Genomic DNA, 16,640 nt, shown 5'->3' with positions numbered 1-16,640 from the left:
TCAATGATATTCAATTATTTTCTCCAGCACTCGATGGCCTTCTAATAACTAACACCATCGTCACTTATTGAGCCCACACTATATTCTTTGTATTGTTCTAAATGTCTTTAGAAATACATAATTTAATACTCATAAAACCATGTAAGGTAGGTACTATTGGTAAACCATTTTATAGATGAGGTGAAGTAATGGAACTAGATATAATCTTCATAAGTAATGGAACTAGATATAATCCCAGCACTCAAACTCCACAGCTTCTAGTCAACTACTATATGATCCTCCCATCTTCTTTCTGCTTGAGGAATGAAACACAGCTGAGAGACAGCAGTAATATAATAGGGTTACAGAAAAGAGAAGTGAGGGAACTCCAGCACTATGGCAAAGGCCCAGGCAGCAGAGTGGAGCTAAGAGACACAGTCAGCCTATTAACTACCTGGCACATACATACATGCATACACACTAATGGTACACAATAAAATGACAGACAAATCATAGATTAAGTTCATTTAGTATACTCATCTTTGATTCCTACGCATCTATTCAGTTGCCAAAATCCAGATCTTGATTCTGAAATACTACTCAAAATGTCAGTTTCAGTTTTCTGTGGCCTATTTCAGTTTCTTCCTGCAATTTTGCCATAGCCAACTGATTTATCACCCTTTATCCATTCTGTAATCTATCCTTTATACCACTCTCAGATTAGTTTTTTAAAAGTTAAGATTAATCCAATTACCAATTAATTCAAAATGTTAAATGGTAATCTACCCAAATAAGAGCAATATTTATCACACACTGTAATTCAATCACAGCATAAAAATACAGCTCCAACCTCTGTTTCCACTCTTACCTCTCACAATTCCCTTGAATGTACTCTTACTTTGGCCAAATAGAAGTATTTAATTTTCCCTAAATTGTACCTTCTGGTTTTCTCTCTTTTTAAATATATGCTACCTTTATCAGATTAAGGTATAAGGGCTACATAAGCAGCCACCTGTGAAGTCTCACATATTTTTCTAACACCTGGTCCAATTTAGATAACATAATTACTTGATACTTCAAGGTGTGATAACCAGCCACCTGAAATGCAATTTAAACCAGGTATTTCTTGAGGGCTCCTAGACATTTTCATTATTGCAGGGTCTATTCAGATTTTGTCTCTCCTCAAAGCATTTACAATGATATATTCACTGAAAATTGCCCACTTCTCACTGAAATTTCCAAAATGATTAGCACAGACCTGAATATAATTTTTAACATCACCTCCACACTTTAGTTTTATCTCCTTTCTCATACTTAATGTCTCACTTTTAGTTTCCCTCTTTTCTTTTATCCTTGACTGGCTTTTAAAAATATGTATTGATTTTATTGGCATTTTCATGCAATCAGTATTTAGATTAGTTCAAATGGTTTACTGTTTCCTAATTCATTAACATTTTTGCCTTTATAAATCTCTAGTTATTAATCTTTAGTTCTAAATTTACATTTCCTCATTGAATCAAAAATTATTTAAAACATGATTTTATATTTCCATATAAATTTAAACATTTTTAAAAATCTCCAGTTCTAATGAATTGTAATCAAGGAATGGGACTTACATATTTTTATTTTTGAGTGAGATTTTGTTTTGCAGTTGATCTAATTAGTAAGACTGGTAATTGTTTTGTCAATGACAGAAAAAAAGAAATATATTTCATTATTTTATTATTAAAGCCACCTATATATATATATATACAGTTATGTGTTGCTTAAGAGAAACTGTATCTGGATGATTTCATCACTGTGTCATAAAATATACTTACACAAGCCTAGATGGTATAGTTCACTACACACCCAGGCTATATGATACAGCTCCTATGCTACAAACTTGTACAGTAAGTTACTGTATTCAATATCATAGGCAACTGTAACACAATGTTATTTGTGTATCTAAAAGACAGAAAAGGTTCAGTAAAAATGGTATAAAGGATATAAAAATTGTACACCTGTATAGGGCACTTACCACGAATGGAGCTTACAGGATTGGAAGCTGCTCTGGGTGAGTCAGTGGGTGAGTGGTGAGTTAATGTGAAGGCCTAGGATATTACTGTAAACTACTGTAGATTTTATAAACATGCTACTCTAAATCTGTTTAAAAATTTTTTCTTTCTTCAGTAAATTAACCTTAGCATTTTATAACTTTTTCACTTTATAAATATAAAAAAATTTAACTCTGACTCTTTTGTAACATTTAACTTAAAACAAAAACATATTACACAGCTACACAAAAACATTTTTTCTTTGTATCCTTATTAAGATTTTTTCTATTTTTAAATTTATTTTTTTTTTTTACTTTTTAAACTCTTGTTAAAAACTAATAAATACATACTTTAGCCTTGGCCTCTACAAGGTCAGGATCATCAATATCACTGTCTTCCACCTATACATCTTGTCCCACTGGAAGGTCTTAAGGGGCAATAACATCCATGGAGCTGCCATCTCCTATGACAATAATGCCTTTATCTGGAATACCTCCTGTAGGATCTGCCTAAAGATTATTTTATAGTTAACATTTTTTAATAAGCAGAAGCACATGCTAAAATAATAGTACTGTAAACACGTAAACTAGTAACATATTCGTTTATCATTATAAAGTATTATGTGCTGAACATAACTGTGCTATGCTTTTATACAACTGACAGTACAGTAAGTTTGCTTACACCAGCATTACCACAAACATGTGAGTGATACATTGCATTGCAACGGCTTCAACATCACTAGGTGATAGAAGCTTTTTAGCTCCATTATAATTTTATAGGACCATTGTCGTATACCAGGTCAGGTGTTGACTCAAACATCATTATGTGGTACATGACTGTACCTTCTTACTTCGTGCCTTTTGAAGTACATTAAGGATTCCTATCATTGCTTTTCTACCAATTATTCTTCATTTCTTTCAGCTTTTACTTAATACATTTTGATGTTTAGCACATTCGTTCATAACTGTTAAGTCTTTACCTGGAGTGTACCCTGTGTTGATGTAAAATGACATTTTTGATCCAGTTTAATGCTTTTTGCTTTAAATGCTACCCTGATACTGAGATTCTGTCATCTGCTTTTGAAATTGAAATTTGCCTGATGTATCTCTAATCCACCATTTATTTTTAACCTTAGTTGTTTTATGTAAATCTCTTGTGATTAATCTCTTAAAAAACAGACTTCAAAGTACAGATTATGTACATCTTTCAGACCTAAAATACTGCCATACTACTACCAGAACAGAATACTACTTTAATATCACAGCACAAGATATGTAATGTTTTGTTCATATTCTATGCATCAATATTTATCAATATTCCGATCATCTCCTAAGAAGATGAATCACGAATTCACAATCTACACTCCTCAGTTAAAAAAGTAATTTTCTATTTCAATAAACTTTCCACTGGCACTGCTAAACTTAGAAATAATGTAGATTTTTCAACATAATAGTGTTTGCTTGAAGCTCGGAAATCTATGTTTCAGGATGATCACAATAAGATTACTACAGGAAAGCAATTCAACAAAGGAAGAAATATGATTATTATTACAATGACAACATATAGCAGTAGTTATTGTATATTAAGGTACTTGCCAACATTTTATATATCTTTAACACTACCATAACTTTACAAGATAGATATTATTGTCTCTATTTTTAGGATCAGAAAACAGTCCGACTGCACGTAATTATCTCATTCAAAACCAGGATCTGGACCTCAATGTGAATATAAGGGTAAAACTTGTACTCAGCTGTCCTGGGTTTTACTAATAGCATGTATATAAACTACGTGATTTGAATGAAGTCACAACTTCATTGAGTTCTTATTTTTCCTGTCTACGAAGAATCTCTAAAGTTTAGGGTGTTACACAGTATTTCACTTCTATGAAACTAATTATTGAGAACAAATGTGAAGCAGACAACTGATATTTTTTTCTCTTTCCAACATTCTTTCCCCTCCTTGATTTTTCTTTGGAAAACTATTATTATCCCTGTGTGGCAGGCTCTACACTTCAGCTTTAGATACATGCCCCAGAGAATTCCATTCCCTGGACAGAATATTTGGTTCAGGAATAATAGGCATGTGCCTCAATCCAGGGAAATCAGAACTCACCCTACAAATTTTTGCTCAAATTGTAGCTCTCTTCTCATCATAGTTGCTAAAGTAGGTAGAATGCAAACCTGAAGCTATTAGGAACTATATCTTGCCACTACTTGTGAGAGCCTGTTTGAAAATAACATATATACAGAAGAGAGAAAAGAGGAGGAGGGTAAGGGAGGGAGAGAGAATAAGAGAGATACTCTTGAGATCTGTTGAGCACCTAGATCCAGGCCAGAGCTTTTAGGTTATGTAAGTCAAAAAATGTCTCCTTTTATTTAAGCTACTTTGAGTTGGGTTTTTCTTATTTAAAACTGAAAAAGTCCTCATATGTCATAAAGGAGTTGCTTTTTATTTTTCTAAGTTTCTATTTCTACTTTAGGATTCAAAATAATAAAGAAAAATAATTTGGACTGCAGAACATAGTTTCGTAGAAAAAAATACCAGGTTTAAGGTTAGAAGATGGGGTTTTTATTATTACACAAAGAGATTATATGACTTAGGACAGGTTGATCTTTGCAGATCTGTTCGTTTTGTGAAACAAGGTCTCGATCTGTTGCCTATCTGAAGTGTAGAGCCTGCCACACAGGGAGGCTCTAGGCTAGAGTGCTGTGGTGTGATCATGGCTCACTGCAGCCTCAACCTCCCAGGCTCTGGCAATCCTCCCACCTCAGCCTCCCAAGCAGCTGGAACTACAGGCACGTGACACCATGCCCGGCTATTTTTTAAATATTTTTTTGTAGAGACAGCCTCTCACTATGTTGCCCAAGCTGGTCTTGAACTCCTGGGCTCAAGCAATCTTCCCGCTTGAGTCTCCCAAAGTGCTGGGAATATAGGTATGAGCCACCGTGCCCAACCCTGCAAATCTGTTTTATCATCTATGTTAGAATGGGTTTGAATTAAATAATTGCTAAGATCCTTCAAGGTATGAAAGTTCTACAATTTTACTGTATTATATAACAGCCTTAAATAATGTGTATCATAGTAACATGGTTTGGCCCAGGAAAATTCAAATGTTAAGAAAAATAAGAACGCCACATTGGAAGATTTTTAAAAAGACAGTAATTATAGTTTGTTTTAAATAAAGAGGAAGTAAGAAAATTTCATTAGGTTATAACATGTAGAAATTTAGTAAACAGGCTAGAAAAAATAACCTGATTTAAGATTAGGTCATGAAAATTCATTCCCCAGAGAAACCAAACATTTTCCTTGAGATCATTTAAAGATACAACTATTATTTCTAGAAGATTTGTCTTTATTAAGAATAAGCTCAATGAACTCATGTACACAAGAGTTCCTAACATAGAGAAACTTTAATAATTTATTTAAAAACAAAAAGAAAATTAAAAGCAGCTCAAACTTTTTCCCTAAAAGTTTAACCAAAGAAAAAATAAGAGGCCAGGCACAGTGACTCATGCCTGTAATCTCAGCACTTTGGGAGGCCGAGGTGGGCGGATCACTTGAGGTCAAGAGTTCAAGACCAGTCTGGCCAACATGGCGAAACCCCATCTCTACTAAAAATACAAAAATTAGCCAGGCGTGGGGGCAGGCGCCTGTAATCCCAGCTGCTCGGGAGGCTGAGGCAGGAGAATCGCTTGAACTCAGGAGGTAGAGGTTGCAGTGAGCTGAGATGTTGCCACTGCACTCCAGCCTGGGTGATTGAGTGAGACTGTCTCAAACAAAAAAACAAAACAAACAAGCAAAAAAAAAAAAAAAAAAAAAAAACAAAAAAAGGGAAATAAATATGAATGTTTACTTTATGTGCCATCATTCTGGAACACAGCTGGGGGTATGCATGGGACAGGGAGAAGGCAAGGGAGAGGGAAACAGCAGTAGTGTTTCTAAGTAACTTTGTCATGTAAAAGGAGTTTACCTCTTTAAACTCAAATTTTGGAAGTCCTTTCAAAAATACATACTTACTAGCATTCTCAGGATGTTTTAACTCTTTCTTCATAGTTTAAACATGTGAGTTATCTAATATTGAAACTTAAGTGCAGATGCAGATAGTGTGGAGCACAGGACTAGATGAGAACCAACCCTAGAAGTTGCCCTGTGGCATGCTTTCTTGGAAGAAAAAAATCACCAACAGCTTACTTTTGAATAATCTTCACATGTTCATAAAGCAAAAGTGTCAAATATACAAATGAATGACTCCTAAGGAAGTGTAACACAATTATCTTCTTGTAAATTAGTGAATAAGACAGAAGGAGGCTTCCTTCCCTTAAGCGGTTACCTCACTCTCAGAACATTTTTCTTTATAATAACTATCAGTTGTCTGACTTCTCTGCAACACTGAAAACCCAAAGTATTATTTGGGCATTACTAACCTAATGCGTTATTTTATGGTCAACTTGTACCCACCACTCTGCCATCTAATTTGCACCATGTCTGCTGAGGATATGTCAAGACTCTGAGCCAGATTATTTTGAAGAGACCTCTGCAAAGTCTACAAATTCTTTACCAAAATATGACTGCCTCATCTCCCTTCAAAAAAGAAAGGGGGAAAAAAGATTCTTCTTCTATATAAATGTCACTAGAACATAATTTTCTCCAGCTTCTTAATGTTTGTCTATAATTAAAATTAAGGATATAAGCAAAATAACATTAAAGATAATTCTAATAAAGTTAACCCCATACAAACTGAAAAGTAGATAAAATGCATGTATCTCCTATAATGGTGATTCACAATTACAAAAATGCAAATCCACAGGCTCAATCTACAAGGAAATACTGACAAGAAGAGAATAAACCTATTATGAGATATTCCAAGAATAAAACTACTTTAGATAATCAACTACATTTATTATAAGATAGTTACTCCTCAGGAAGAATTCCACAGTTGTATAACAACAGCTTTACCATGCTTAGCTAAGTTTTCTTATGATGAAATTAGTTATTCATAAAAGATTAAAAATTATTTCACCAGTATTCTAACCAACAGGCAAACAAGTGGTATCTTTGAAAGTTTTAAAACAATTACATTTCAAGTATTTTACAGAAGCCTGCAGTATTATATTTCCAAGACCAACAACCTCAATCTGTCCAAATTCCCTTTAAGTCAGGAGTCATTAAATGCTTTAGCATTTGTAAGGAAGCATTTGTAAGGAAAGGTATAAGCTGAGGAGCCTTTCAAAATAAGACCAATTTTATCAGCATTTCATAACCTTGCAGGAAAGCCTGAGCCTATACAGAGATTAATTATTTTGAACAGTCTCAAAATTCTTTTGCAGTTCCAGGATTTGTGGACTTGATAGTATAGAAAGAAATTTAACAGTGTATCAGAGGACTCAAATTTTCCTCTGAATGCTAATATTAACTGGATAATATTGATCACAACACTTCCCCTTCCTGTGCCTGTTTGATCATCTATAAGAAACATTCCTGGAAGAAAAAAAAAAAAAAACCTACCACTGACTTTAATCCGTATCTAGTTTTCTAATGCTGTTTCAACCTAAACACAAATGCTACTGTTCAGTAAAATATGGTCAACCAACAGCATCTGCTCCATTTTTTTTGCCTTTTTAAATAAACACAGGGATAAAGAAGGTAAGAACACGAGGATACTCCTTTAGATTCTGTGAATAATTCATCCGAAATATGGTCTAAGTATATTAATTAAGCATGAGCCAAGTATAGTAGATTTCAGTTATTTATTTTGACTCCAAGACACAAAAAGCAATCAATTTCAGTGAAATTACTTAACTCTGAGTCTTAATATTATGTAACAGCTAAATATAACAATTTTAATATCTACATTCTTAACACTGTATGTACAGATCTCCATTTTCTATTAACTATTAGCCCATCAATCTCTTTTCACTTGGGGGATATTCCAACCTATGCAAGGATGGAGAATATACAGCTACTAGAGCAGTTCTACTGATGAAGTAAATACTATTACATTTTACCACATGATATTATAAACTTTGCATTTTATTTTCATAACACTATTCTTGCTATCTTTCATTCTGGCCCTATTTCACAACACCCTACAGGACTTACGATTTCATCAAATAGTCTCCCCTCACCTCTGAAGAGAAACAGAATTGATAGTATTACCAGACTGTAATGACTAGAATATCTTCCCATTGGCAAATTTAAAATATGTCCTTACTTTTTGATTATGGAGCCTTCTCTTGGATTTAATTTGGACTGGAAACAGAAAATAAAATACAATAAAGTTTAAATGCCCTTGGGTTTTACTTTTATCCCTGAACATGATGACATGGACTATCCCAAGTCCTTCTTAAATGGCAAGTTCTCATCATCAGCAGAGCACAGCCAACTATTCTGAAGAAGCAGATACATCAGACAGGGTATGTATGCATATGTGTGTGGGTGAGAGTGTATAAGAAGGAGGAAAGAGGGAGAAAAAGAGACCACATGTGAGAGCACAGTTAAGTTGGAAAAGCCTAGACCATTACAAAAACTATTTGTTCCAATTAAAAATCATTGATTAAATCATCCTACTAGGATATTGATTGTAATGCTAAACAAACAAAAAGTCACACAGTTGAACAGTGAAGGCAAGTATCTTAGAAAGAGTCAAATATACTTGTAGCATGAAGAAGAATAAGACTGTTGCAATACCTCTATCAAATACTTTTCTCCATTCCAAAAAAAACCCTGACATTAAAAAAACAATAATAAAGTAGGTCACAAAAAGATTGGAAGTACCACCTTTCTTCAGATATGATTTCTCAGTATAGCCGGCTACAAGTTTTCATCAAATGCAAGCATGGTGACACAATCAAGGAAACATTCCCATTTTGGAATCTTTTTGGAAGCTTCAGAAAACATTAACACTTTCAAAATGGTAAAGTTTCTTTACCAAAAAACTTCTCCTGAAGAAACCTCAGTATTCTGTAGGCAGACAGTACACCTTACTGCCAGACAACACATCTGATATTGGGGCACTGGTAAAGACAGAAGCTCTCCATGTCATGGTCACCCACTGCTCTCTTCATCAGTATGCGCTAGGGTGCAAGACTGTCATCAATCCTGAAAGAAATCTTATCTCTTGTTGTGAAAGTATTCTACTGTTTCAAGTGCCAACCCTTGAATAATTCCCTGTGTAAGATGATTTGTCATGAAAAATCCACTATTGTGAAAGCTGCCAGATTCATGAAAGCCAAGACTTTCAATCAAGAGCTTCTCGAGAGGTTTTGTCAAGAAATGGGAGCACTATGAAGTTCTTTGCTATATATAAGTTCCCTGCTTTCAGAAGACAAATTCTACAGCCTGATACTGCTGTTTACAGGATAACATACACTCTTTTTAAACAGTTTAACTCTTCAACCTTGAAAGTAAAATGTGGAGTCATAATCTTTTCTTTCCTAACACAGCATTAATGATACAGATCTTGCCAAAAATGATCTCAGTAACTTGAAGGCAAAGAAAATGATGAAACATGAATTTATCTGAAGAGCCTTGGAGAATTCTTATTTCTTGACACGTCTACTTTCATCAGGCAATAGAATCTACAGATTCCATTTACTCTTCTTTCTTTTGTAAAATAGCATTTTCAGCACTTTTTACCAAAGTCAACACTGATTGGATATCAAAGATCATATAAAAGTTGCAAAGTCAAAGTCAAAGAGCATAGTTTCAACTTGTTATTTTAAAAGTTAAATAGCAGTCTTTTCATTAAAATTTAGTATTGAACAGAACTAAAGCTTAATTTTGGTTAATTTGTACCACTTAGATTTATTCATTGCTCTCATGTAGTAGCCACTGGTTTTTGCATAAAAAAGTGACATAGTTTTCATGAAGGTTCTTTTACATTCTGTCTAAAAGAATATATTTCAATGTAATAAAAACTGCAAAATTTTATGTACACTATGCACATTTTTTGAGGGGAGAACATTTATACCTTCCATCAGACTTTAAAAGGAATGTAACACAATTTAAGACCCCCTGGCTTAAATCTAGTGTTCTGCGCCTCCACATTACAAAATTTTTCTATTTTATTACAAAAAATTTTTTACCTTTTTTTCCACTACCAAAATATATGCTGCTCATCAACTCTGTTTTAAATTTCTACCATCGCTTTTGCTACTGCATTTTTTTTTTTTTTTGAGATGGAGTCTCCCTCTATCACCAGGCTGGAGTGCAGTGGCACAGTCTCGGCTCACTGCAACCTCCACCTCCCGGGTTCAAGCGATTCTCCTGCCTCAGCATCCTGAGTAGCTGGGATTACAGGCACGCGCCACCACACCCAGCTAATTTTTGTATTTTTAGTAGAGATGAGGTTTCACCATGTTGGTTGGCCAGGATGGTCTCGATCTCTTGACCTTGTGATCCGCCCGCCTCGGCCTCCCAAAGTACTGGGATTACAGGCGTGAGCCGCTGTGCCCAGCCTGCATTTTTAATCAGTAAAAGCAATTGTTTCCCTGCAGATGATAATGGGATAAATCAAAGTAAAAATCTTTAGATCCTCAGCTCTATAATTCATGCCAGTGCTATCATTCCAAGGTGCAAACAATATGCAGAAATGTAAGGCAATCTACCATAATCTTCAACATTCACCAAAATTATGCACTAATGTAAGATTCAATTTTGTAAACTATCAACAATAAACAGTATTTCGGCATCCTTATATATAATGCAAAAAAAGTCACAAAGGATAGGAAACAAGATATAAGAGGGGGTAAAGGAACAAGGAATCTATGCAATTACACAGCTTTAAATGATTAATACGATCATTCTATTTCTGTTTTACAGCTGAATTAAGAAGAAATTAGATTAACATGAAGGAGAACTCTCTAAATGAGTTTTTCTATCTATCTGGAGGGGCTTAGGCTTTGTCCTTCTTAGAGATGGAAAAATGTACAAAATCTCTTTGCATTAAATTTTAACATGTTTTGCCATACTTACCACCCAAAGAAATATATCAACAGCAAAATTAAATCACTGTAAAAGTTCTCCCAAGAGTTTTCTTTTTTCTTTCAGATGTACTATAAGAATTAAATTTGTCACTGATTTTTCAATATAGTCCTTAGTTTTCTGATCAAAGAATCGAGAATCTTCTATTAATCTAACTACATTTATGAATATTCTTATAAAAGAATAATTTTTATGGATTATAAAAGTTCACACTTTACTAGGTAATGGTATTTTATCCAAAGGCATTCTATGCTCAAACAAGCTTCAGAAATATAAAGCTTATTTTTGATTAATATGCTTTTTAAAAATGTTATTTTAGAAGAATTTTGTGAGACCAAATCTGCAATACAGTTAATGGGTAACATGTGCTAGTATGATATGAAAATGGTAGCGTGAACAGAAAAATGAAATCAATCAGTCATTTCTCATATAGAAATTGAGGCAGCAACTGATTTAAAAATTTAGAAGAAATAAGGATTAGCAACTATCTTTAAAACCTGTTTTCCAGGGACTGAGGGTGGGGAGGGAGGAACACAAGATGAACAAGATCTGAAGCTCTACTGGACAGCATAGTGACTATAGTTAATAATAACATTGTATAATTGAAAATTGTAGCTTGTAGATCTTAAATGCTTTCACCCTGGGGGGAGAATAATAATTATGTGAGGTGATGAATATGTTAAGTAGTTTGACTGTAGTAATCATTTCACAATGTATATACACATACATCAAAACATCATATTATACATTGTATTTATATATAATTTTTACTTGTCAATTACACCTCAATAAAACTGAAGGAAAAAAAGAAACCCAAAATCTGTTTTCCAATAAATTCTCAGATCCAGGAAGAGGAAAGGAAAAACATCAAAAAATAACTTACCTTTTTGTCTCTGGTCCTTACTTCCCCATAGAAATCTAGGGCCTCTTGTGCCTTTAAAAATTTGCCCCGATGTAATAAATATGCACATATCATTACACCAGTTCGTCCCTTTCCAGCTTTACAGTGAATTGCTGCAACATGATTGTCATCTTCACTTAGCCATTGGTCAAGATCTTCACAAAAGGGTTTGATAAGTTCTAGCTGTGGTGGGTTATGGTCTTCAAAAGGATATTGTGCAACTGTGGTAAAAAGATAACCTCAGAATAAGAAAAAAAAACTCTTGAATTTTTAATTAACAAGTAGGTAACTTTAGAAATGTTGCATACAAACTTAACAGGTATTTAAAAGAAACACTGGATTCCAGAGAAAAATAATGTATTGCTTAACTTTCTAATTGTTAAATAGAAAATAGTCTCTTGATAAGTCTTAAATATAATCATTAAGGAAGCCAGGTATTATTTTCCCCCATTTTATTCAGGAGGATATATTCTGGGAATTTACGCTATACGGACTGGTAGCATAGGTCACATATTAGAGGTAGAGCTAAACCCAAAATGAACTGTCACATGGACATTTCGTCAGGACTCTCAATGCAAAAGGAATAATACTATTTATAGTATTTATTTCATCATCACAAAACATATTCCAAAGACAGAATAGATTACTAATAGGATAAACTATGCAAAGAACTACATATTACATTTCATAAAATAAAAATGCTAAGTGTGTTATTTAAAGGTGGTCTTGCAAATGTTAGTGTTGTATACACATGTAATCATTAGGGAAGCCAAGTATTATTTTCCTCCATTTTCTGCAGGAGAATACATTCTGGGAATCTATGCTCAATGGACTGCAGCATAGGTCACATACCAGAGATATGTGAAGGCATACACCAAAGAAATTACTCACAAAATGTATATAATTGTTATCAAAGTTTCAGGTCTTCTCACATGAATTGTAAGAGTCCAAGACTTCTCTGTTCACTATAGTCAGAGTTGAGGTTTTTAAAAAAACTTGTTTAGAAACAGGACTATAGATATATCACTATTAATTGCTCTTAATAGTTTCTACCTTAGTTCCACTCTATTAAGATCCTTAAAAACCCTGGCTGATATTCAATGTACTAACCTGTGTCATCTAAATATGTGAGAAGTATGTCTTATATCTCCAATCAGGTGACTCATAATATGGTACAGGATATAATCAATTATCCTTTGGTGTGACAGGAGAGATCTTCTGGTAGACAATGACTATCATTATAAGGAGTCAGCAGGACAGCTTTCACTTAGTCATCTGCCTAACTTCATTTTCCCAGTGGTACACAAAAACCTCCAGGAAAATCTGTTAAATATCTGTTTAAAGCAAGATAAACCTCAACTAAAGCCTGCTTTGCTTAGTAAGCAACAGCCTAAATCCACCAAAAACAAAAACAAAAAAAACCCGTTCTTAGTAAACCTATACTAAATCTCAATCATTAGTGATTTAGAATTTTCAAACCATTTGTCTGAAAGTCCATTCTAGATTTTCAGGAGGGATCAATGGCAAATACATCAATAGTAGCTCATGGCACCCACTTTCTTTTTGACTATCACAGCAGCATCTGCCAAGCTTCTCAACTCTTCAGTTTTCTCATGGTTTAAAGTGTTAAGCCATGAGAACTGAGTTGTATTTCACAAATAAAAGTGAAAGTTTTTGTGGGCTCTGAGAATTAACTTATGTCTGAAGTAGAAACTCATTTAAAGCAGTTCCCTCCTCTCATCCATCAGACTCCTCTTATCAACATTTGTTATATCCTTTCCTACCTTTTATGTCATTCCTCAACACAGAAGAGTTAAGTAGTTCTGCTTTCTCCCTGTGATTGCTTACTATTAGACCAACTGCCTCAAATAGTAGGTAAACCCTCTCCTTATACTATTTTTAGTCTAGGAATTTTCCTAATTCTTAGTCTATGCTGCACTTTAGTCTTCCTGACAATATTAATAGCTTTATGCAATACTTTTTCCTAAAACACAACAGTAAAATTAAAATTTTTGAAATTTTTAAAGATAATTCTTAAATATGTATCTCACTCGATAATCTGGATGACTCATTATTGTTATGACAGTAAGATACAGTCTATCGGGTTTAAGTTATACAACATAGTACAGTACATTCATACCTACCTCTGCAATTAAATTTGGCGGTGTCATAATGTCTTTCAGCACAACTAAAAGAAAAGTTTAAAAGTGATATAAAGTTATCTTTTGCACTTAGGAAGAAAAAAAAGTACTAATACTAACAAACATTGCCTGAATCTTTATAATGTGACACATATTATGCTGTGTTTAACATTAATTATTTCATGTAATAACAAGAATTCTATTAAGTAGATACTGTTATCACCCCCATATTATAATAATAAAACCAAAGCTTAAAAGATTAAGTGTATGCAATTAGAGCTAATACATTTGCTTAAAAACTTGTGATGCCACTAATACAGAGTACTGTAAATTCAGGTGCTTCCATGCTTTCAAATTTCCTCTATGAAAAATCTGCATGCTATTGGAATATATTTTTAATTTTACAAGTACCTATAAACAACTGACTAGTTTCAATAGTATCTGTATCTCATAGTTAAGCATACATAATTCTCAAACTATTCTTCAAAAAGATATATGTTAAAAATAGTAAAAGCATAAGGACAGTAAAGAAAAACTGAATGTTGTTAATCTACTTGGCCAAATGCTTACTAATTTTTTTTTAAACCAGACCTTACTCCCTGTTGAAAAGCCAACGATCACCTTTTTCAACAGTCTCTCAGATTGCAAGTTTTAATTACAGTATGAGAGTAATGAAAGAATAAGTAAAATCAATACAGAATAGTAAAATGCTGACTTGTCATTACTAGAGTATGCTAATATTTGTCTTAATAGCAGTGATATGTTAGTATGTACTGGCTTTCTAATGATTAACAGGCCATGTTTACAAACAATAAAAGGCTCAGAAAGAGATCTTACATATCAGTGTGGTTAGCAGTACCCTGGTAACTCCAACTACTATGCAAAACAAATTTTTTAAAAATTACTTAAAATAAACTCTTAGCATTTTAAAACAAATAAAGGTCCATAGCTCCTTAACCTGCAATTTCAATATCCCAAAAGTTCAAAACATCTAAAATTTTCTCTTAAGTTTTATGGCAAACTCAACTACAGCAAATCCTGATCTGAAGTAATAAGATTGTACATAATATTTAATACACTTAGAGCGAAGAGTAAAACATTTCATTTCAGGTACTGACCCACACCCCACTGGGGTGTTTATGTAAAAGTATATTTATCTGTGCTACCTTTTGAAAACTAAAATTTCTGAAAATGGAAACATACTTGGCCCCAAGAGTTTCAAATAAGTGATTGTGAACCTGTATTGTACATTTAGAAACCCTGAAAAACATCTATATAGTTTCTTCTCTACCTTAAAGGTAATTCAAAACCAAATTCACATGAAGGTTTAACTAATTATAAATAAACTACAATCCATTGGTTTCTAACTGGTCAGACCTAAAATAAAACAACTTTCATACTACCACTCAAAACAAAACAAGCTTTTCCTTTTTAGTACAATTTAGTATATTGAGTTTTTCTAGAAAGAAAATGCATTTAGTAATGACATATGCACATATATGCATCCTTGCTAGTAATTTCATACCCACTGACATGAAAAACAGGAAAAAGAGGACTGACAAGACAGTCACATTTTACACTTTCTTTGGTACTTTTAAGATAAAAGGGGAGAAATTGTCAATAGTGAAGAATTCATAATGGAATATTTTATAAGGAATCAGAGATGTAGGACTAGGAAACACAATCTAAGAAGCTGGTCTCAGGACAACACAACAGAAAATAAACATTAGTTTTGTGCAGCTTCAGTTCTCTAAACTTCCCCTACTTTCTCAGGATCCCAGAACATGTGGTTTGACGAACACTCCTTAAGACTGCTTTAATAAAAATGCCTCTCAAATATTACTGTTAAGAGGACTATATGGACGGAAAGTGGAAGTAATGACTACTAAGTGTCAACCAGATGAACACACCTTACAAAGAGTTTCCACTTTTTTTTGTTTCATCCTCACAATCACGTGATAACTGTTATTATCTCCATTTTATATATGAGAAAGCTAAGACTTAAGAGCATTAAAAAACTTGCCCCAAATAACAGTATACAAATGAAAGAGCCAGAACTCAAGCTCAGTATCTCTGATTACAAAAGTCAAACTTTTTCTACTACTGTTCCATAATTCTACTTATAATAAAAAAAAAGTTTTAAATACAAAAGCAGTAACAAATTTCAGTCAAAGCCAGCATTCCTACAAGAGCAGTATCTGTCATAAATCACAGAACCAACAGTGACAGTAAAAAGCAAGGAAAAAGTTATGAAAATCTTCACAGGTAAGCATAGGAAATATGGGAGCAAATATGCTGGGACTAGTAATGATAAATATGCTCAGGGAATGGGGGTTGGTAGGATAAGGATGAAGACTTTCTTCTTAAATTAAAATCTCTGATAAATGCCCTCCTTCCACCTATACCTACTGACAGTTTCTTTTAAATTCTTTGTGGTTTGGTAGTGATAAGTCTCTCAACAAACTAAAATTAAAGATACACAAATGGCAAATGGGGTTTAGCCATTTAAATTTAACCATTTATGCTTCCTTATAACTAAAACTCAAAAGATACCAGTACCTCATATTGGTTTATATGAGACAAGAGAAATGAATAAGC

General features: G+C 33.5%; 1 protein-coding gene across 3 annotated transcripts in view, besides 1 other annotated feature; it reads right to left on the bottom strand.

Moving 5' to 3' along the window:
* Positions 1 to 16,640, bottom strand: part of PTEN (phosphatase and tensin homolog) — a 108,306-nt gene that overhangs the window by 26,796 nt on the left and 64,870 nt on the right. For 2 of the 3 annotated variants that reach the window (NM_001304717.5, NM_000314.8), the window contains 2 exon segments: positions 11,884 to 12,122; positions 14,046 to 14,089. In NM_001304717.5, coding sequence (NP_001291646.4) covers positions 11,884 to 12,122; positions 14,046 to 14,089 — 283 coding nt within the window. 3 annotated transcript variants of the gene reach the window in all.
* Positions 15,900 to 15,999: a silencer, noted in NCBI's record as "silent region_2587". NCBI's record gives its function as "represses an Ori minimal core promoter by ATAC-STARR-seq in GM12878 lymphoblastoid cells {active_cell/tissue: GM12878}" and the evidence as "EXISTENCE:reporter gene assay evidence [ECO:0000049][PMID:35858748]".

Source organism: Homo sapiens, chromosome 10 (genome assembly GCF_000001405.40).
Source record: "Homo sapiens chromosome 10, GRCh38.p14 Primary Assembly".
Lineage (NCBI taxonomy): Eukaryota > Metazoa > Chordata > Mammalia > Primates > Hominidae > Homo > Homo sapiens.
This window is presented reverse-complemented; position numbering and strand designations above follow the sequence as displayed.